This window comes from Homo sapiens, chromosome 17 (genome assembly GCF_000001405.40).
Source record: "Homo sapiens chromosome 17, GRCh38.p14 Primary Assembly".
NCBI classification, from domain to species: Eukaryota; Metazoa; Chordata; class Mammalia; order Primates; family Hominidae; genus Homo; species Homo sapiens.
The window spans coordinates 17,155,316-17,174,713 of NC_000017.11; the positions used below are offsets into that span (position 1 = coordinate 17,155,316).

Genomic DNA, 19,398 nt, shown 5'->3' on the forward strand with positions numbered 1-19,398 from the left:
GATCTCGGCTCGCTGCAACCTCCACCTCGTGGGTTCAAGCAGTTCTCCTGCCTCAGCCTCCCAAGTAGCTGGGATTACCCACCACACCCGGCTAATTTTTGTATTTTTAGTAGAGACGGGATTTCACCTTGTTGGCCAGGCTGGTCTTGAACTCGTGACCTCAGGTGATCCACTCGCCTTGGCCTCCCAAAGTGCTGAAATTGCAGGCATGAGCCACCACAGCCGGCCTAAAGGCACATTCTGTATCCAAACCTTTGCCTTCTTCCTGCGGACTCCACACCTCTTTACATAAGAAGGAAAGAACTCCTAAATTGATTTCTTTATAGTCCTCTTTTCTGTGTCTGTCATTTGTTCATGACTTCATTTATTAAACAAACACTGTCTAGTAAGGCCAAGAGGCCGTGACCGGGACAGGTTGCCCTCTGTCTCTCAGGATCCTATGCAGAGAGCTGGCTTGTTGTCTAGTGACAAGTCCTCTTTGTGCACAGCCAGCAGGAGGCACCCAGAGCTGCAGCAAGCTCTCCCACCCTCCAGGGGCCACATCCTGTGGTGGCCTCAGCTACTGCTTCCATGGCTCTCCCATCAGGAGCAGACACCCAAGCTTGACAAGCTAAGTGCTCTTTTCCAAGCACCTTTAGGAAGCCACCAGAGCAAAGTGAGAAAGGCCTCAGCTTCTTTGCCCAAGCTATTGGCAGCAGACAGAGCTTATCACGGGGGTCCAGGATGGGGAGTGGTGGGCAGTGCATATGGGTAGCTGGCCTGAGGTCCTCTCCTGCCCCTCTTCCCAGCCAGGCCTGGGCTCGGTGCTGTAGATTGGCAATCCTGTCTGGAAGAAGTCAGCTTTGGGATGTCCCAGGGCAGATGTCAGGAATGCACCTGTGCACATGCCTGTGCCTGCACACAGCTCAGGAGAGGCGCCTCCACGCTTGAGTGCCTGCTTCCCTGCGTGCAGGGGCTATGGGCCCAGGGGAATGAATGAGGAGACAAGGGTTTGGCTCTCACATGAAAGTTGACCTGGCAGTTGGCCTCCTGACTAAGAATTACTTCATAACCTAGCATATCTGCATAGTCTGGTAGAGTGCTCACCCTCCACCAGTTTGTTTTCAGCATTTATTCTTCCTCTGTGTAGGCTTTTATTATTTGAGGAAAAATGTGAGTTTTTTAGTGCTGCCAGGCAAAATCTCAAGGAGGCATGAAAACAAACTGCAGTCTCAGAAGCTGCTGTCCTCGTCCTGCTCTCATCGCCATCTTGAAGTCCTGGGGTGGGGAAGTTGCAGGGTGCTTCCCGCCTTTGGCACTAGAGGAGCCTTGTGGGGAGGTTTCTCCTAGGGAGTGCGGCCGGTTCTGGTGTGGCTGTGACTTTGGCGGCTGTCAGGGCCAGGCTGGGGGCCTCCATGCATGCCCTGCCCTATGTGTCATCCTGACACTCTCCATGGCCAGGAGCTCTTAGTTCAGTGACGTCACAAGATCTGCCCTGTGTCGTTTTCATCCAGATGTTAGCGTGCTCTTACAGTGGACACCTGCAGATCCTGTTGCTGTGAAGCACTTTGCCTCTCACTCGATTGCTGCCTGGACAGGTGACCCTTGCTCCAGGTGGTGACGGCAACCATTTCCTCTTTTCCTTGGTTCTCTCTCTAAAGACTCCTTTCCTTTTGGCCCTAATTGAAACACATGTGCTCCCTGGAGCTCCTCCTTGGGCCCTCACTGTCCTCAGGTGGGCTTGCAACTGCCTTCTGAGGGCCTGGGTGAGATTAGGGGCCCCTCAGTCAGCCTCGGACCAGCTGGCAGTCTGTGGGGCCTATCTCTAGAGTCTACAAACCTTTGCCTCAAACACTCCCAGCCTCCTTGACAAATTGCCATCAGCAATGTCCCTGTCCCTGCCCTACTGCAGACGAGGCCTCCCCAGGAATCTCTGCTTCTAGCAGATGGGGACTAGACATGGATTCCTCAGGCAGACCTGGCTTCACTCCACTTACTGCAGGGCAGGTAGCAGCACCATGAGCACGACCTGCGCAGCTCATGTCCCGTTGCTGGCTGCCGCTTGCCTGCTCAAGGTGGCAGGTAACCCAGTGTCCTTCTCCCCTTCTGCCTTCCTCTCCAAGCCTCTGGCTACTGCATGGTGTGAACTCGTGGCCACCTGGGCCTCCTGTTTCCCTCACCCTTAGGAGGTCCCAGTCTTTCATACTGATCCATCTGTCATGCCAGCAGCTGGATTGGGCTTTTAAAACATAGATTCAGGCTGGGCACAGTAGCTCACGCCTGTAATCCCAGCACTTTGGGAGGCAGGCGGATCACCTGAGGTCAGGAGTTTGAGACCAGCCTGGCCAACATGGAGAAACCCCGTTTCTACTAAAAATACAAAATTAGCCAGGCATGGTAGCGCATGCCGGTAATCCCAGCTACTTGGGAGGCTGAGGCAGGAGAATCGCTTGAACCCAGCAGGCAGAGGTTGTGGTGAGCCGAGATCGCGCCATTGCACTCCAGCCTGGGTAACAAGAGTGAAACTCCATCTCAAAAAAAAAAAAAACAAAACATAGATCTGATCACGTTACCTGCTTATTAAAAGGTAAGCCCTTCTAGAAAGTGCTAGTTTTCCCTCATTCTGTCACCACTGTCCAGTCCAGGGGTGCACAGGGCCCAGGCCTCACCTGGCAGGTACGGTGGCTGTGCCCAGGTGCAGCCTAATGTAGTTCTTGGCCCTGAGCAAGGCAGGGCTGGCCCGTCCTGCCTCTGAGGCTGTGGGAGTCCTGGGACTCCCCTGGCTCCATACCCTGGCAACGGGACCACCACAGTGAGCCCCTCACAGCCTCTTCAGTCAAGGGACCCCCCCAGTGTCATTATGTGGGAAACCTCAGCTTTCTGAGGCTCTTTTCCCTTCCTTTCCCCTTCCCCTCCCCGTCCCCCTCCCCCTCCCCCACTCAGAACCAGTTTGGGAAGGGATGTGGGGTAAAGGCAGAGTATTCCTGTCCTCCCTGCACTTAGGAAGCTGGGATTAGGATAGAAAAAGGATGTGGTGCTCACAGGGGCTGGGTTGTGGCTCAGCATTGCCAGCTTCTGCCTGGCAGGCCACACCAGAGCCGCCCCTGACAGGCTATGTCCATCCTCCTGCCCCACAGCTCGTTGCCAGAGGAAAAAAACAAGAGCAGCTGCTCTTTTGAGACCTGCCCGAGGCCTACTGAGAAGCAAGAGGCAGAGCTGGGGGAGCCGGACCCTGAGCAGAAGAGGAGCCGCGCACGGGAGCGGAGGCGAGAGGGCCGCTCCAAGACCTTTGACTGGGCTGAGTTCCGTCCCATCCAGCAGGCCCTGGCTCAGGAGCGGGTGGGCGGCGTGGGGCCTGCTGACACCCACGAGCCCCTGCGCCCTGAGGCGGAGCCTGGGGAGCTGGAGCGGGAGCGTGCACGGAGGCGGGAGGAGCGCCGCAAGCGCTTCGGGATGCTCGACGCCACAGACGGGCCAGGCACTGAGGATGCAGCCCTGCGCATGGAGGTGGACCGGAGCCCAGGGCTGCCTATGAGCGACCTCAAAACGCATAACGTCCACGTGGAGATTGAGCAGCGGTGGCATCAGGTGGAGACCACACCTCTCCGGGAAGAGAAGCAGGTGCCCATCGCCCCCGTCCACCTGTCTTCTGAAGATGGGGGTGACCGGCTCTCCACACACGAGCTGACCTCTCTGCTCGAGAAGGAGGTAATAGCCTGGGACCAGATCCCCACCCTGCTCCCAGCAGCCTTTCCAGAGCATCAGCTGTGCCCAGCTGTGGCCTGAGGGGTTCATCTAGACAGTCCTACCCGCGAGGGACTTGCAGACCCCTAGGGGAGACAGACGCATAGATGAGTCCTCATAGTTGAGGCAGACCTGAGAGCTGTGGGAGCGTGCCAGTGCATGCAGGGCAGGGAAAGGGGCCTTCCAGGCACAGAGGAATTCTTCCGATGGTGGGGGCCCCTGCCATTGAGAGGCAAGCGGCGTTGCAGGGCCTAGATGGTTTCCTCGTTCTGACTCCCGATGGCAGGAGGGGCGCGAGCAGGGCAAGGCTTTTGCATTACGCAGCCCTGGCTTGGACAGGTCAAAGCTGTAGGCAGAGACCAGCCCCAGGTGCTCTTACAGTGGCTTGGGGACGGCCGATCAGATCTGAAGCCAGGGGCATCCAGCAGGAGATGACAGCTGGGTCCTAGGTCATGAGGATATGAAGCAGAAGACAGTGGTGAGGCAGGGTAGGCTGTGGATGAAGGCTGCCCTGTGACTGTCACTCCTCCACGAGGCCTTCAGTGCACCTAGGTACATAGATGAACAAGCTGGCCCCCGAACTATAAAATAAGATGTTCTTTCATGGAAATGTATGCAGAAATCCAGTCTGCAGAACTTCAGTGGTAGATTGACATGTCTGGGCAGGGAGTCTCGTAGCTGGGGAGGTGTAGCGTTACAGTTTTTGTAGAACTCCCTGTTTCACTCTCCATTTAGGGACAGTTTTCAACACTGTGTTTCAAATGTGTTCTCTTACGTAAGTAGCTTGTTAAAGATTTGCCACTTGGGTATGCCTCAAGCTTCTCATCTTTTTTGTATTTTATTAACTGTATGAGGCTGAGTTACCACCAGCACTAATACTTGTACTTTTTCATTTTCCTCATCCATTAACAAGTAACAAAGGCAAGATGAAATAAAATAACAGTTGAAACTCACATTACTTCAGGCTACCAAAATGGGCCAGCCAGCAGGCGACACACTGGCTCAACAATCTGGGGGGTCAGTCTTCACTGTTTAAAAGTCAGGGGTCGGCTGGGCATGGTGGCTCACGCCTGTAATCCCGGTACTTTGGGAGGCCGAGGCGGGCGGATCACAAGGTCAAGAGATCAAGACCATCCGGCCAACATGGTGAAACCCCGTCTCTACTAAAAATACAAAAATTAGCTGGGCATGGTGGTGCATTCCTGTAGTCCCAGCTACTTGGAAGGCTGAGGCAGGAGAATCACTTGAACCCAGGAGGCAGAGGTTGCAGTGACCTGAGATCGCACCATCGTACTCCAGCCTGGCGACAGAGCGAGAGTCCATCTCAAAAAAAATAAATAAAAGTCAGGGGTCTCCCCGCCTCTCACAGCACAGTCTGTCAGCACCCTGGGCGGCACTGGCCTGACTGTCCACCACACACACAGCTCCATTCAGCACGAGCTCTGGGAGCAGGTTGGGTAGCCCTGCACATGGCCAGGCATCAGGAGGCACCTGGGAGGTGTGTAGGGAAGAGGTGGATGGATGAATGAGTAGCTGAAGCTGTTGAAAGCAAGAAGAGTGTAAAATAGCTTACTCATGGGTATCCACACCTTGTTTGAGGGAACTGCGGGAACTCTTTTTGCAAACAGAACTTTGTGGAATCCATCATGTAAAGCTGGTCAAATGGAGTGGTTTCAGTTGAGACCATAGTGGGCCCTGGAGTGAGGCCTGCTTGGGGCCACCACTCACAGTGGTCCCTGTAGAGCCTAGCCTGGCCTGTGTGACCAGCTGAGGACACCCAAAGGACCCCATGGGGTGCTTCCTCCAGATGCAGATGCAAAACCCTTGTTCCCCAGTGGACACATTCCCCTTCTCAGAAATGAACACCCCGTATGGGCCTTGGCACCTATATAGGGCGTGCATGTTGGAACCTTGAGCAGGTGTGGGAAGTATGTGGGCATCCAGGGGTGCCTGGAGTAGGGAAGGACAAGGTAGTCCCTTGGTGCCCATAAGGTACCAAGTCTGCCATTGTTACTGATGGCTTGCATTGGAACCTTCACTTCCAAATGCTGCTGGTAAAGGCCATATCAGCACATCTGCTGAAATGTGGAGACTCCAAAACTCTTGGGCCACATGGAAGACCAGTGAAAGAGTCTGTGCTGTGCAGCTGCTTTGTTTATCATTGTCATTTTGCATAAAAGTGTGTGTCTTTTTGCCAACAGCTGGAGCAGAGCCAGAAGGAGGCCTCAGACCTTCTGGAGCAGAACCGGCTCCTGCAGGACCAGCTGAGGGTGGCCCTGGGCCGGGAGCAGAGCGCCCGTGAGGGCTACGTGCTGCAGGTAGGGTGGAGGGGCTGCTGTGGCCCATGGTGCGCTCAGGAGCTTCAGTGTGAAGGGTTCATGCTCAGGCAGGCTAGGAGTGTGCAAAACTTGGCTGAGCAGGGGTGTCTCCCAGGAGCTCATGCCCCTGGGCTTTTCTGCCACAGGACTGGACACTCAATGTGCTTGGGGGGGTCTGTTTGTTTTTCCCTCCTGATATGACATTTTGGGGAATCTCCCTGAAACCTCTATATCTAAGGACTTTTTTTGGTAATAAAATGATTTTGGTGACCTTTCCCTTTGACTCTGAAAGTAGCCAATATACATTTATTGTAAATACCATACATTTGCATGTGATTTCTCATAGTTTTCACTATAGTAATATTGGACCTATTGTACAGATTGAAGACATTGAATCACACAGCAAGTCCAGTGCCTGCTTACAACCAACAGCAAGTCAGTGGCAAAGCTAGTACTGGACCCCATTCCCATCTGTTTCTATACCACACCTGGCAGGCAGAGCTGGGGCTCTTACCACTACTAGCCCAACCCCGGGATACCTCCACTGAGATCCTGTACCACAGAGCCCTGATATAGGGGTGTCACAAGGCTGGAGCTAGCCTGGCCCAAGGGCGTGCCTATGTCTGCTGACTTTCCTGCAGCGTGCCAGGCCTTGTGCCAGGTATTGGGCATAAAACAGATATACTCTTGTCCCCATTGAGTGGTAGAGGAGATTGTGATAGGAAGATTGATATATAAATACTGCAGGAGAAGTGAAGTGGGGTACCAGAACAGGGAGCCTAAGTTCTCGGCAAAGGCTGAGGGTATAACATTAGAATCAAGGTCCTAGGTTCAAGACTTGGCCCTGCTACTGACCCCCAAAGCAAGTGCATGTGTCCCCTCCTCTACAGCGGCAGTCTGCTGCCTGTGTAGACTTAGACCCAGTGATCCCTGAGGGCCCTTCCGGCTCTTAGACCCCGAGTCTCTGTCACGTATTGTCTACATTTGCAGACCGCAGTGCGCTGACCTTGGTCTGAGTTGTCCCAGGCAGCAGATGGAACAGGGGCACTCAGCTGGCCTCTGACCATAGTCTGCCTCTTTGCAGACTCTCTGCTGTTTCTTCTCCTGTGTGCTCCCTGGGCCTTCTCTTTCTTTCTGCCCCACATGCCCTAGACTCTCCTCTCCAGCCTCTTCTGCCATAGTCATTGCCATGCCCTGTTCAGACCTGGTGAACAGGGCCTCCCTGTGGGCCTCCCTGCCAAGGTCATTTGCGCTTGCCCTCCAGGTTTGAGGAGCATCTTTTTAATTCTTGATTGGGCCTCATCCTATAAGAACTGGCTTCAAATCAGGTAGTAAAGATAAAAGTTCAGCATCCCAAATTCGAAAATCTGAAATGCTCCAAAATCCAAAACTGAACGCTGACATTATGCTGAAAGGAAATGCTCACTGGAGCATTTCAGATTTTGGATTTTTGGATTGGGGATGCTCACCCAGTAAGTAGAATGCAAATATTTTAAAATCCGAAACAGTTCTTGTCCCAAGTATTTTGGATAAGGGATACTCAACTTGTACTAAGCAGCGGACTTTGCACATTGCTAACCTAGGAACCTACCTCTGTCTAACTTGCATAATTGCATGAGCCTACACTGAAGCCCCTGTTGGTCAGCACTGGGCAAAGCTGGTCTTTAATACCTTTTCCCTAAGTCTAATAACCTGTGACTTCTCACCACCCTTTATGCTTTGGAAATGCTTTTAATCACGACTCAGAATGAGCAGGGGGTCTGTGGGGTTAAGGGTCAGGAGCCAGCTACTGGGGTGGGTGCTATACTAACTGCTGGGAGGAGCTTGCATGATTTGGACATTGAGTGTGAAGTGTAACTTGAACTTAACATAACTGAGTGTCACATCTGTGGCTTCCCCGGCCAGCAGACCGAGAGGGAGCCATAGGCAGGCCAGATTCTTAGGCTGGGCTCGGCTCACTCTTGTTTGTGTTGTTTTTCCCTATATTAATGAGTTCTGTCTCTGCATGCCTTTCAGTGTGGGGAGTTTTGTTTCATTTACGTTGTGTTTTGTTTTTGCATGCTTCACTTTTTCTTATTTTGAACTCCACAAAGGTTTGTTTGTTTTGTTGATTATTGTATCTTACTCCATGGTTCCCGTTCCCCCCTCGTTTTGACTTCTTACAGGTAGAGATTAGTTCTTCCTGTTACTCTAGAGGACTGACTACACTTTCCACAGGAAAATGTTTGGATGTCACCTTGCTGACATCTCCCGAGTGTTACCTTCCTTCCTTCTCCTCCTGTCTTAGAAGGAAGTGGCATCATTTACCTACACCTTGTGTCCTGCGCTTGTTTAGGATTTGTTGTCAAGACTGCGTACTTTTTGTTTTGTGAAACAAACAGCTGCAGGTGCTGTGCTCCTCCCGCCTGTCCCTCTTCCTGGCGCTCTCTTGTCCTTTAGTCTTTGTTTTGCTTCTTAGTGTGTTCCATTATTCAGTTTTGTTTGGTTTATTTCTCCTAGAAGCTGTTTGGTTAAAGCTGTTTTCTGATGTTATTGTCCATGTTTTCTGTTTACCTGGAAGCAGCTACTTACTAAAAAAAAAAAAAAAGAAAATTTGTTGGATTTTTTTAATGGGAAAAAAAAATAAAGTTGTACAAAGGATAAAAGCCAAAGCCATCAAGGAGCTTTCTGTGGTTGTTCCTGGCCAGAGGTGTGACACTCAGAACTGGGAGGCCCGAGTGTTACTAACCAGTATTTAATCGGTTTTTTTAAGACTGAAGTGGCCGCCTCCCCATCGGGTGCCTGGCAGAGGCTCCATAGAGTCAACCAAGACCTTCAAAGTGAGCTTGAAGCCCAGTGCCAGCGCCAGGAGCTGATTACACACCAGATTCAGACCCTGAAGCGTAGCTATGGGGAGGCCAAGGACACGATCCGGCACCACGAGGCTGAGATCCGGAGCCTTCAGGCACGGCTCAGCAATGCGGCCGCTGAGCTAGCCATCAAGGAGCAGGCGCTGGCCAAGCTCAAGGGCGACCTGAAGCGGGAGCAGGGCCGGGTCCGCGAGCAGCTGGAGGAGCGGCAACACAGCGAGGCGGCGCTGAGCAGCCAGCTGAGGGCTAGCGAGCAGAAGCTCAAGAGTGCTGAGGCCCTGCTGCTGGAGAAGACGCAGGAGCTACGGGGCCTGGAGACACAGCAGGCGCTGCAGCGGGACCGGCAGAAGGAGGTCCAGAGGCTGCAGGAGCGCATTGCCGACCTCAGCCAGCAACTGGGCGCCAGTGAGCAGGCGCAGCGGCTGATGGAGGAGAAGCTGCAGAGAAACTATGAGCTGCTGCTGGAGAGCTGTGAGAAGGAGAAGCAGGCATTGCTGCAGAACCTAAAGGAAGTGGAAGACAAGGCCAGCGCCTATGAGGACCAGCTGCAGGGTCAGGCACAGCAGGTGGAGACCCTGCAGAAGGAGAAGCTGAGCGCCACTTTCGAGGGCAGTGAGCAGGTGCACCAGCTGGAGGAGCAGCTGGAGGCACGAGAGGCCAGCGTGCGCAGGCTCGCAGAGCACGTGCAGAGCCTCTGTGACGAGCGGGACCTCCTCAGACAGCGGTTCCAGGAGCTGACAGAGCGCGTGGCCACGTCCGACGAGGATGTGGCTGAGCTCCGGGAAAAGCTGAGGAGAAGAGAGGCTGACAACCAGAGCCTGGAGCACTCCTACCAGAGGGTCTCCAGCCAGCTGCAGAGCATGCACACTCTGCTGAGAGAGAAGGAGGAAGAGCTGGAGCGCATTAAGGAAGCACATGAGAAGGTTCTGGAGAAGAAGGAGCAGGACCTCAATGAGGCTTTGGTTAAAATGGTTGCCTTGGGGAGCAGCTTAGAGGAAACAGAAATTAAGCTCCAGGCAAAAGAAGAGATTTTAAGGAAATTTGCAAGTGAATCTCCAAAGGACATGGAAGAGCCACGGAGTACCCCTGAAGAGACAGAAAGGGATGGCACTTTGCTCCCAGGCCAACCAGTCCAAGCCACTAGGGCACCTCTAGGCCTCCCACACACAAGGCTCGAGGATGAGGACGAGGACCTGGGGGCTCCTCCGGGGGAAGAGTACGGTGATGGCAGCCCCAGTAGGGAAGACAGCATGGTGCCCCCAAAGTCAGTGGAAGTGCTTGACAGGGAGGGCCATCAGCAGGGCACAGCCAAACTCGACCAAGGGGCACCTGGTGTTAAAAGGCAAAGAATCCGGTTCTCCACAATCCAGTGCCAAAGATACATTCACCCCGAAGGGTCTGAGAAGACCTGGACCAGCAGCACATCTTCCGACACCAGCCAGGACCGGTCACCCTCGGAAGAAAGCATGTCCTCAGAGCCTGCACCCAGTGTACTGCCTGCAACTGGCGACTCTGACACGTACCTCTCCATCATCCACTCCCTGGAGACCAAGCTCTACGTCACAGAGGAAAAGCTCAAAGACGTGACCGTGAGGCTGGAGAGCCAGCAGGGTCAGAGCCGTGAGGCACTGCTCGCACTGCACCACCAGTGGGCGGGCACCGAGGCCCAGCTGCGTGAGCAGCTCCGCGCCAGCCTGCTCCAGGTTGGCGCACTGGCCTCCCAGCTGGAGCAGGAGAGGCAGGAGAGGGCCAGGAGGGTTGAAGGGCATGTTGGAGAGCTTGGGGACTTCCAGGTCAAGAATAGTCAGGCCCTGATGTGCCTGGAAAATTGCCGAGAACAACTGAGATCTCTGCCTAGGGCCAGCCAGGAGGATGAGCAGGACGCACGCGCAGCCTCCCTGGCCAGTGTGGAGAGTGCACTCGTCAGCGCCATCCAAGCCCTGCAGCACTGGCCGGCCCCAGCCCATGGCGGGGCCCGTGCACAGCTGGAGACAGGTGGCACCGAGGAGAATGGGAAGCCTGCCTCCCTGCAGCAGTGCTCCCAGTCTGAGTTGACAGAGCAGGAGCAGGTGAGGCTTCTTTCTGACCAGATTGCTCTGGAGGCCTCGCTGATCAGCCAGATAGCAGATTCCCTGAAGAACACAACATCAGATGTCTCCCGAATGCTCCATGAGATTTCTTGGTCAGGACAGCCACCGATGGAATCTGCTGGGGCCCCCGTAGACACCTGGGCCAGGAAGGTCCTAGTGGATGGTGAGTTCTGGAGCCAGGTTGAGTCTCTGAGGAAGCACTTGGGGACACTGGGAGGAGAGGCAGTCGGTGCCTCAGGAGACGGGCAGCAAAGCATCCCACAGGGCCTGGCCCCCATCCTGGCCAATGCCACATGGGTCAGGGCAGAGCTCAGCTTTGCCACACAGTCAGTGAGGGAGTCGTTCCACCGCAGGCTACAGAGCATCCAGGAGACCCTGCGGGGCACCCAGACGGCCCTGCGGCAGCACAAATGCCTGCTGAGGGAAATCCTGGGAGCCTACCAAACCCCAGACTTTGAAAGAGTGATGCAGCAGGTCTTGGAAGCCCTCAGGCTTCCAGCGGGCCATGAAGATGGTGTTCAGCTGTCCTGGGACCTGAGCCCCTTAGGAGAAGTCCTGGGCCGAGACTCAGACAGCTCTCAGGAGCCCTTCGATGTGTCTGACCAGAGCCCTGGGGCCTTTGTTGCTATTCAGGAGGAGCTTGCCCAGCAGCTGAAGGAGAAGGCCAGCCTCTTAGAGGAGATAGCGGCTGCCTTACCATCTCTGCCACCTGTGGAATCGCTGAGAGATTGCCAGAAGCTTCTCCAGGTGTCCCAGAGTCTCTCGTATAACACTTGTTTGGGAGGCCTCGGTCAGTATTCTTCATTGTTGGTTCAGGATGCCATTATTCAGGCCCAGGTTTGCTATGCGTCCTGCAGAATCCGGCTAGAATATGAGAAGGAGCTCCAGCTCTGCAAGGAGTCCTGGCAAACCCGGGAGCCCTCCTGCTCAGAGCAGGCACAGGCAGCCCGGGCCCTGAGGGAGGAGTATGAGGAGCTTCTCCGCAAGCAGAAGAGCGAGTACCTGGATGTGATCGCCATTGTTGAAAGGGAGAATGCAGAGCTCAAGGCCAAGGCCGCCCAGCTAGACCATCAGCAGCAGTGTCTGGAGGATGCAGAGAGCAAGCACAGCATGAGCATGTTCACCCTGCGGGGCAGGTATGAGGAGGAGATTCGGTGTGTGGTGGAGCAGCTGACCAGGACCGAGAGCACACTGCAGGCTGAGCGCAGCCGGGTCCTGAGCCAGCTGGATGCCTCGGTCAGAGACAGGCAGGACATGGAGAGGCATCATGGTGAGCAGATACAGACCCTGGAGGACAGGTTCCAGCTCAAGGTCCGGGAGCTGCAGACGATCCACGAGGAGGAGCTGAGGACCCTGCAGGAGCACTACTCGCAGAGCCTGAGGTGCCTTCAGGACACCCTCTGCCTCCACCAGGGGCCACACCCCAAGGCCCTGCCAGCCCCTGCCCCCAACTGGCAGGCCACCCAGGGAGAGGCTGACTCCATGACGGGGCTGAGGGAGCGCATCCAGGAGCTGGAGGCCCAGATGGATGTCATGCGGGAGGAGCTGGGACACAAGGACCTGGAGGGCGACGCGGCCACACTGCGTGAGAAGTACCAGAGGGACTTGGAGAGCCTTAAGGTCTTAACGCCCCATTCAATTTGCAGAGCAGATCTTCCTTGATAATGGGGTGGGTGTGGGGACGTCTGGCTCAGCTACCGTGCAGGCAGAATTGAGGGGATATGCTGCTGTCCCTCTACTTGCTAGCCATGGTGTGGTCTCAGCAGGGCCTGGGCCGCAGGCTTAGCCTCTTGTTCGGCATCCCCCAGTGTCCTCCACCAGGAGGAGAACTAGCAGGAGGGCCGCCAGGGTCCCTGGTGGGAGAGGAGCACGTAGTCTTCCCAGCACTTCCCTGCCTGCCTAATGCGGCCTCTCCGTGTTCCTGAGAGCAGCCCCCAATCCCCTTGCCAGCCTTGCCTCCTTCCTGCCCCTGCCCCGGGAACCCCGTCTGGCCCAGTCCCAGCCCAAATCTGAGGCAGCTGCCTGAGGACAGCCTTGTACTCACAGCAACACCCCGGAGAGCCAGGGCCCAGTTGGAGGGCAGTCTCCTCCTGATTGCCCTAGGAGAGCACAGTCGGGCGGAGGGTCCCTCTCTGGAACTGGCATTTGATGTGTGCTCTGGTGAGAAGAACTTTCCCACGGAGCACAGCCTCCAGCCACTCCTGTCCCCTTCCCCAGGACCTTTACAAGTAGATTTTCCCCAGAACTGTCCTGCATCCCCGCCCCTGAGGTCCTGGAGCACAAAGGCGAAATGCCAGGCCCTGGAGGTGGTGGTGGGCTGAGTGGAGGCCCAGCTGTCTGGCCCCACCCTTTGTAGCTGCAGGCCACACCCACCATGTGTGGCTGTCAAGCATCATCCCTTAGACTCAAAAGTTTACCATGATACCTGTGCCCTTATGTTCCTTCCACTCAGGAAGCTGCCCCAGTAAATGACTAGGATGACTAGGCCCCTCAAAAGCCATGTTCAGGTGGTGCCTTCCACGCTCATGTGGCAGAGCCAGGCGCGCACACAGCCAGCACCATTGTGCTGCAAGCTCCTGACTCCCAGGTGGCTGCCACTGCTCCTGCCTACACATCCTCACAGCCACTGTCTAGCAGGACACCTGTTTTTCCCAGCCCGTTACTCCTGTAGCTCTGAATGGAAACAGCAGCTCACATGTCACCTCTGTGTGACGGACTCGGCCCCACCCAGACACACAGGTGTGGTTGTCAGCGAGCACCTCAGGAGAACTGAGAAGCTCTTTTTCACCATTCTTTCCCCAAATCAGTCAAAACCTTTTAAAAACCATTATGAGTTGTGAGAAGGTTTCAACAGCTATGTTTTCAAAGTGTGTGTATATGATGGCACTGTGGTCAGTTCACCAAGAGCAGCACTGAGATGGGTGGATCCAGGTGCACCTTGAAAAGTTAATTGCACAAACCTTTGCTTTGACCCCAAATACGCTTGCTAGTGCCCTTCCCTGCAGCTTCCCAGACAATCAGCAGGGTCCATGGGGGCAGGGCCTGGGCACAGCAATGCCCTGCTTCCTGTCTGCATCCATAAGAGGCCCCTCCACACCGAGGCTGCTTTAGGTTAGCCAACCAGGTGCAGGGGAGGCCCCATGCAGGTGCCATTATACCAACAGTGAGCAAGAAATCAGAAAAAAGAGGACTGCCTTATGTTGAGAACTGACCAGAGATTGTGCTGGGCCAGTGTCACTAGGAGGGAGAAACAGATGATGCAGGTCGGGATGAGGCCCCTCCCAGGGGCTTGGACACTGTCCACTCCCTGCTGCCTTAGCTGCCGTTGCATAGTGTCCCCTCCTGTGCCTGGGAGCTTCTAGCCCAGGTGTGGTGTTCTCACCCACCCCTGCAGACTTACAGAACTTGTAAATAGACAGCACCTTGAGATTTCATCACTTTATGCAGATTTCCACTTGGGTCGTTGGGGACAGGGTCTTGGCCTAACAGCCGTCCTCTGACATCCACAGGCTCCCACCACACCACGATTGCAGTCATCGGGGAACTTCTTTTGGTGTCAGGAATGATTGGCTTAAATTAACATTTGTTTGCAAGATCAATTATTTTTTAGCATATAGTTTCTCTCCAAAGAAGCAACTAGGTCTTTAAAGATGTCCCAGTGCTTCTGTTAGATTTTTGACTCTTACCTGCATAATATTCCAAAGCACTCAGATCAAAATAAGACTTTTCCCAGCAAGTAGACTCAAAGAAAAAAAAAAAAGACTTAAAAGATCTATTAATACTAGTTGTGCTCGTTTTAGCAGCATATATACTAAAATTGGAATGATACAGAGAAGATTAGTATGGCCCCTTTACAAGGATGACACACAAATTCATGAAGTATTCCATATATATATATATTTTTTTTTTTTTTAATTAAAAAAGACCTATTAGTTAAATGTGTTAACTGAGAAGCCACATACAAACAGAAGCGAGTGGGAGGAAGAAAGAAGAGCTCAACCTTGGGGCCTGAGGACCAGGAGCTCCAGAGCTCCGAGCTCCTGCAGCCGTCCTGAGGTGTGAGGGTGGCAGAAAGAGACAGATGCTTCCAGGTGGAGCCGCTGGGAGAGGGGATGGGACGCCTAGTTAATAGTGGCAATAGCTGAGACATTCACCCAGAGCAGCACATAGGTTGCAGTCAAGTCCAGACTGACCACGAGTTTGGAAATACTGCCTGAGGCTCTCAGAGTTGGCCATCACCAAAAGTGGGCCCAGAGAAAAATGCCCAGGCATGCTGATAGGATTTCTTGGTATCCTTTCTTGAATCCACATGCAAGAAGATTAACCAAGTGGTGCAGGCTATCAGCCCAGAGTGGGGAAACCCCCACACTTGAATTTGGAATGGAATGTGGCCACGTTCTTCCAGTTTTTAAAACTCAGCGAGAGGCCCAGTCCCTTCTCTGAAGCAGACCACTTGAAGGATTTAGACAGAAAGTGTGTGCCTCCGTGCTCAAAATAGCTGCACACCCACCCTTCCCGGCAGCTGTGCAGCACGCTCACCTGCTTTGTTAGTGAGCACAGCTCTGATAACCAGGCCTGGGCTTCCTGGTGTGGCTTGCTCCCATCCTGGGGCATGCCTATGTCGCTCTAGGGAGGCACAGGAGAGTTTGGAAAGCAGGTCTCCTGTCATGTACTTGTTAGAGTTAGCAGAGGTGCTAAGTCATTGGTGCCCTTCTTTAAGAAAAGAGTAAGAAAGAAGACACAGGCTAGAAGGAAGGGGAGCCTGTAGCCTGATCTTACTCCCTCAGTCAACACCTGAGCATTAAGTGACCAGCTGGAGGTTGTCAGCTGGCTAGTGGCAGAGTCCCAACCCCCAGCTCCCAGAAGTGGACTCTATGTACCCCCAACCCACTGTGGGTTGAGAGGCTCCCAGCCCGGTGCCCGCCAGGCCACTCCCTATATGTGGAATGGCCTTGGTTCCCTCCAGCAGACAAGTCCCTCATCCCTGTTTTACGGGCCTTTCACCGTGTCCCTCCAGACCAGACACAGCCAGCCTCTGCCCACGTGCTCTCTCTTCCTTCCTGTGGGTCCCACCTGGCAGCAACGCAGGAAGGTCCAGGGTTGGCTGGTTTCCATTTCATAGCAGCCTGTCCCCACCTACCATACCAACTTCTCCCAGGAAGAAATGGGGCACAGTACAGTCACAGAAATAAGAGGTAGAGTTGACTGGTAACACCCTTTTCTGAATGCTCTGATGGCATTGCTGAGAATCCCCAGACAGCCCCAGGGATCCTGTTCAGGGCGCCCATGGTGGAGCAAGCTCAGTGAATGCCCAGTCACAGCTGGGCCTGGACAGGGTGGGATTCCTGGCTCCTTTATTTAAAAGGGCCCCCAACTTAGAGGTAAAGAAAGAAGTCGATGAAGTCCCTTTTGCATTTTGCAGGCCACGTGCGAGCGAGGGTTTGCAGCAATGGAAGAAACGCACCAGAAGAAGATTGAAGATCTCCAGAGGCAGCACCAGCGGGAGCTAGAGAAACTTCGAGAAGAGAAAGACCGCCTCCTAGCCGAGGAGACAGCGGCCACCATCTCAGGTTGGGGGGTGGGGTAACCCTGAGGGCAGGGTGGGTGGCCAGCTTTTTTTGAGCTAGACACACAACTCAGAGGAATGGCAGCCTTTAAATTGCCTTTTGGCTGAGATGTAAACTTCATTGTTGAAGGGTTCTTTGACTATTCACTCTGAGGCAAAGGCCAATTTTAGGTCCCTTTTGAGAGCTTGTAAACTGAGAGCGCACACTTCGACCCCTGACAGCCCCGTCGTGGCCGGCTGCACACAAGGAGCTGTCCCAACCTGTGACTTTCCAGTTCCAACAAGTAGACTGACCAGTGTCAGTCCAGCCAGTGACTTTCCCCCTGACAGACACCTGTCAACGTGGGACCACCTCTGGCCAGAATGCCCCTGCCGTCAGCGTGAAGATATGTAGCTTCACCGGCAGGTGGCCCTAAACAAGCACGTCCCCTCCGCCTTGTGCTGCCTTCCCTTTATGTAATCGCCACCTCAGTGGTTTGTTAATTTAGTTCCAAGGAAGAAAATACACCAGCACAAAAGCTTGCTTGTTTTATAAACTCATGTTGGAATTTAACAATGACATTTATTTAATCAGTTTGGTTTTCTTCTAACACCAAAAAAAAAGCCAAACGTGCATTCCTTCCAGGGGGAGTTCATGAAGAATTCTCCCAGCCTGCACCCACCTCAGAGAATTGGTTCATGAGGGGCCAGCCTGTCATGCAAAATCCAACTGCTGATTGACTAAGCAAGCATCAGCAGTGGCAGGCGCCATCCCATTGTGTGGAGCTCCCCACCCCCACCCCTGTCAGCAGGAAGGGCGTGGTCCCTCGGTGCTGAGGCCGTGTCCTTGCCTGCAGCCATCGAAGCCATGAAGAACGCCCACCGGGAGGAAATGGAGCGGGAGCTGGAGAAGAGCCAGCGGTCCCAGATCAGCAGCGTCAACTCGGATGTTGAGGCCCTGCGGCGCCAGTACCTGTAAGTGGCTGGGCCTGCCCATCTGCCCTTGGGAGGGCCCCTCTGGGGTGCTGACCAGGCCACAGCTGGGCCCTTCCTGTGTCTTTGCAGAGGCCTCCAGAAGTGGGGCCTGGGGCCCCTGGGTGCTGAGGGCAGCTCAGATGCCCTCTTGTCCAGTGCAGGATATGGCCCAAGTGGGGCCTCCTTTATTCAGAGAGACTGTTCCTCGAAATGCCAAGAACGAGATGTAACAAACGAAATCTTAAACTCCCCTCTTGTCCAGGGCTGATCCCAGCAACTGCCCAGATGTGTTCTTCGACAGCTGCCCTGCTAGCCCACCAGGAGCCAGGCAGCCGGGCTTGGTCGTACAGGGCAGAAGTGAGAACTAGCACTGTGGTTTAAAACCACACGTGCTGATTCCCTCTGCACAGGCAGGATAGAAAAATACCAGAAAAACTGCTGTAGACTTTTTTCACTTGGTAGAATTGACACAGCCAGAAGCCCACAGATTGGCCACCATGAGCCTCACGGCACTCAGGCTCTACCAGGAGCCTTTATAGCATAGCCGAAGCCAGGGGCCCTGCCTCAGGAGCTGGCAGCAGTCAGCAGCACCCTGTAGAGGCTCACGCTGACCTTGGTCAGAGCAGGGTGGCCCACCTGGAAGCCCCTCATCCCTGGTTCACCTGCAGGAGGACGGCCCTCCTGGATCCAGGGTGGCAGAACAGCCTCAGGAAGCTTGGGTTTTTGGGTCTTGTGTAGAGCCTGGTCCTGGCTGTCAGACACAGATGGCTTCAAAAGTGGGTTTACTGAAAACAAATTCTGAGTCAGAAGAGAGTTCTAGAAATGGGGGTTCTGTGTGGCTGCAGACTGGACTCTGTCCTGACTGGCATCCCCAGAGAAGTGCTAGCTGTAGGACTGTCAGACTGTGAGAAAGGACCAGGGAGGGGCGTGAGGCCATCTCTGTAAGGGATCCCTTACTCTGTATGACCCAGGCTGATTAAGACAACAGACTGTGTGGGCCTGACCTGTGCTTGGCTGTGTCTGGTGTCAAGGAGGGACACCGGCCTCTGAGAGGCCTTGTCCAGAAGCAGGCAGAGGAGTGAGTGCTGCCCTCTCCCCAGGGAGGAGCTGCAGTCGGTGCAGCGGGAACTGGAGGTCCTCTCGGAGCAGTACTCGCAGAAGTGCCTGGAGAATGCCCATCTGGCCCAGGCGCTGGAGGCCGAGCGGCAGGCCCTGCGGCAGTGCCAGCGTGAGAACCAGGAGCTCAATGCCCACAACCAGGTGAGCCTGCAGCCAGGTGAGCCCAAGGTTAGTCAGGGGCACTCAAGGTCAGGTAGACCCATAGTCAGGTGAGTCCACACTGGAGCTGGAGCCAGGCCTCACCCTCAAAGTGGCATGAAGGTCCCTGAACCACAGAGTGGTTACCTGCCCCAGGGCTTCTCCCTGCCACCCAGCGTGGCCATCTGTGTTGTCAGAAACATCACCGCGGATAGCTAGAGCAACGCTGTACTGCCACGTGCACCACCTGCTTACACATGACATCACTCTTGCTTTGACCCTTTCTGAGACTCTCGGGTGTCTTGGTGTCTTCTCTGTGCTCCTCTGAACCTCTGGCTCACTGTTTCTGGGCAGGGCCTGGCAGGGTCATCCCAATCCTCCAGGATCCTGTCCCCCAGGGATTGAGCTGACACTTCTCAGGGTCAGGCTTACGGCTCACATTTATTTTTGTCAGATTTTTTTTCTTAAGATTTGCTTGCTCTGTCCGGGCGCGGTGGCTCACGCCTGTAATCCCAGCGCTTTGGGAGGCCAAGACGGGCGGATCACAAGGTCAGGGATTGAGACCATCCTGGCTAACATGGTGAAACCCCATCTCTACTAAAAATACAAAAAATTAGCTGGGTGTGGTGGTGGGCGCCTAT

The 19,398-nt window shown here is 54.5% G+C and overlaps 1 protein-coding gene and 1 pseudogene across 12 annotated transcripts in view, besides 3 other annotated features; both read left to right on the top strand.

The window, feature by feature from the left end:
- Positions 1–19,398, top strand: part of MPRIP (myosin phosphatase Rho interacting protein) — a 150,187-nt gene that overhangs the window by 112,859 nt on the left and 17,930 nt on the right. For 7 of the 12 annotated variants that reach the window (XM_011523766.3, XM_047435685.1, XM_047435684.1 and 4 more), the window contains 5 exons: positions 3,117–3,687; positions 5,925–6,041; positions 16,403–16,550; positions 17,383–17,500; positions 18,601–18,760. In XM_011523766.3, the coding sequence (XP_011522068.2) occupies positions 3,117–3,687; positions 5,925–6,041; positions 16,403–16,550; positions 17,383–17,500; positions 18,601–18,760 (1,114 nt within the window). Of the gene's footprint in view, positions 1–3,116; positions 3,688–5,924; positions 6,042–8,793; positions 12,601–16,402; positions 16,551–17,382; positions 17,501–18,600; positions 18,761–19,398 lie in introns of all 12 variants that reach the window. The other 5 variants (NM_001364716.4, XM_011523764.3, XM_011523763.3 and 2 more) reach the window with 1 other exon arrangement.
- Positions 11,925–12,527: an enhancer, noted in NCBI's record as "H3K4me1 hESC enhancer chr17:17070554-17071156 (GRCh37/hg19 assembly coordinates)". NCBI's record gives its function as "activates a minimal SCP1, AML or CMV promoter by ChIP-STARR-seq in naive and primed H9 embryonic stem cells {active_cell/tissue: H9 hESC(naive and primed)}" and the evidence as "EXISTENCE:reporter gene assay evidence [ECO:0000049][PMID:30033119]".
- Positions 14,768–14,874, top strand: RNU6-767P (RNA, U6 small nuclear 767, pseudogene; annotated as a pseudogene).
- Positions 16,258–16,917: an enhancer, noted in NCBI's record as "H3K4me1 hESC enhancer chr17:17074887-17075546 (GRCh37/hg19 assembly coordinates)". NCBI's record gives its function as "activates a minimal SCP1, AML or CMV promoter by ChIP-STARR-seq in naive and primed H9 embryonic stem cells {active_cell/tissue: H9 hESC(naive and primed)}" and the evidence as "EXISTENCE:reporter gene assay evidence [ECO:0000049][PMID:30033119]".
- Positions 16,918–17,577: an enhancer, noted in NCBI's record as "H3K4me1 hESC enhancer chr17:17075547-17076206 (GRCh37/hg19 assembly coordinates)". NCBI's record gives its function as "activates a minimal SCP1, AML or CMV promoter by ChIP-STARR-seq in naive H9 embryonic stem cells {active_cell/tissue: H9 hESC(naive)}" and the evidence as "EXISTENCE:reporter gene assay evidence [ECO:0000049][PMID:30033119]".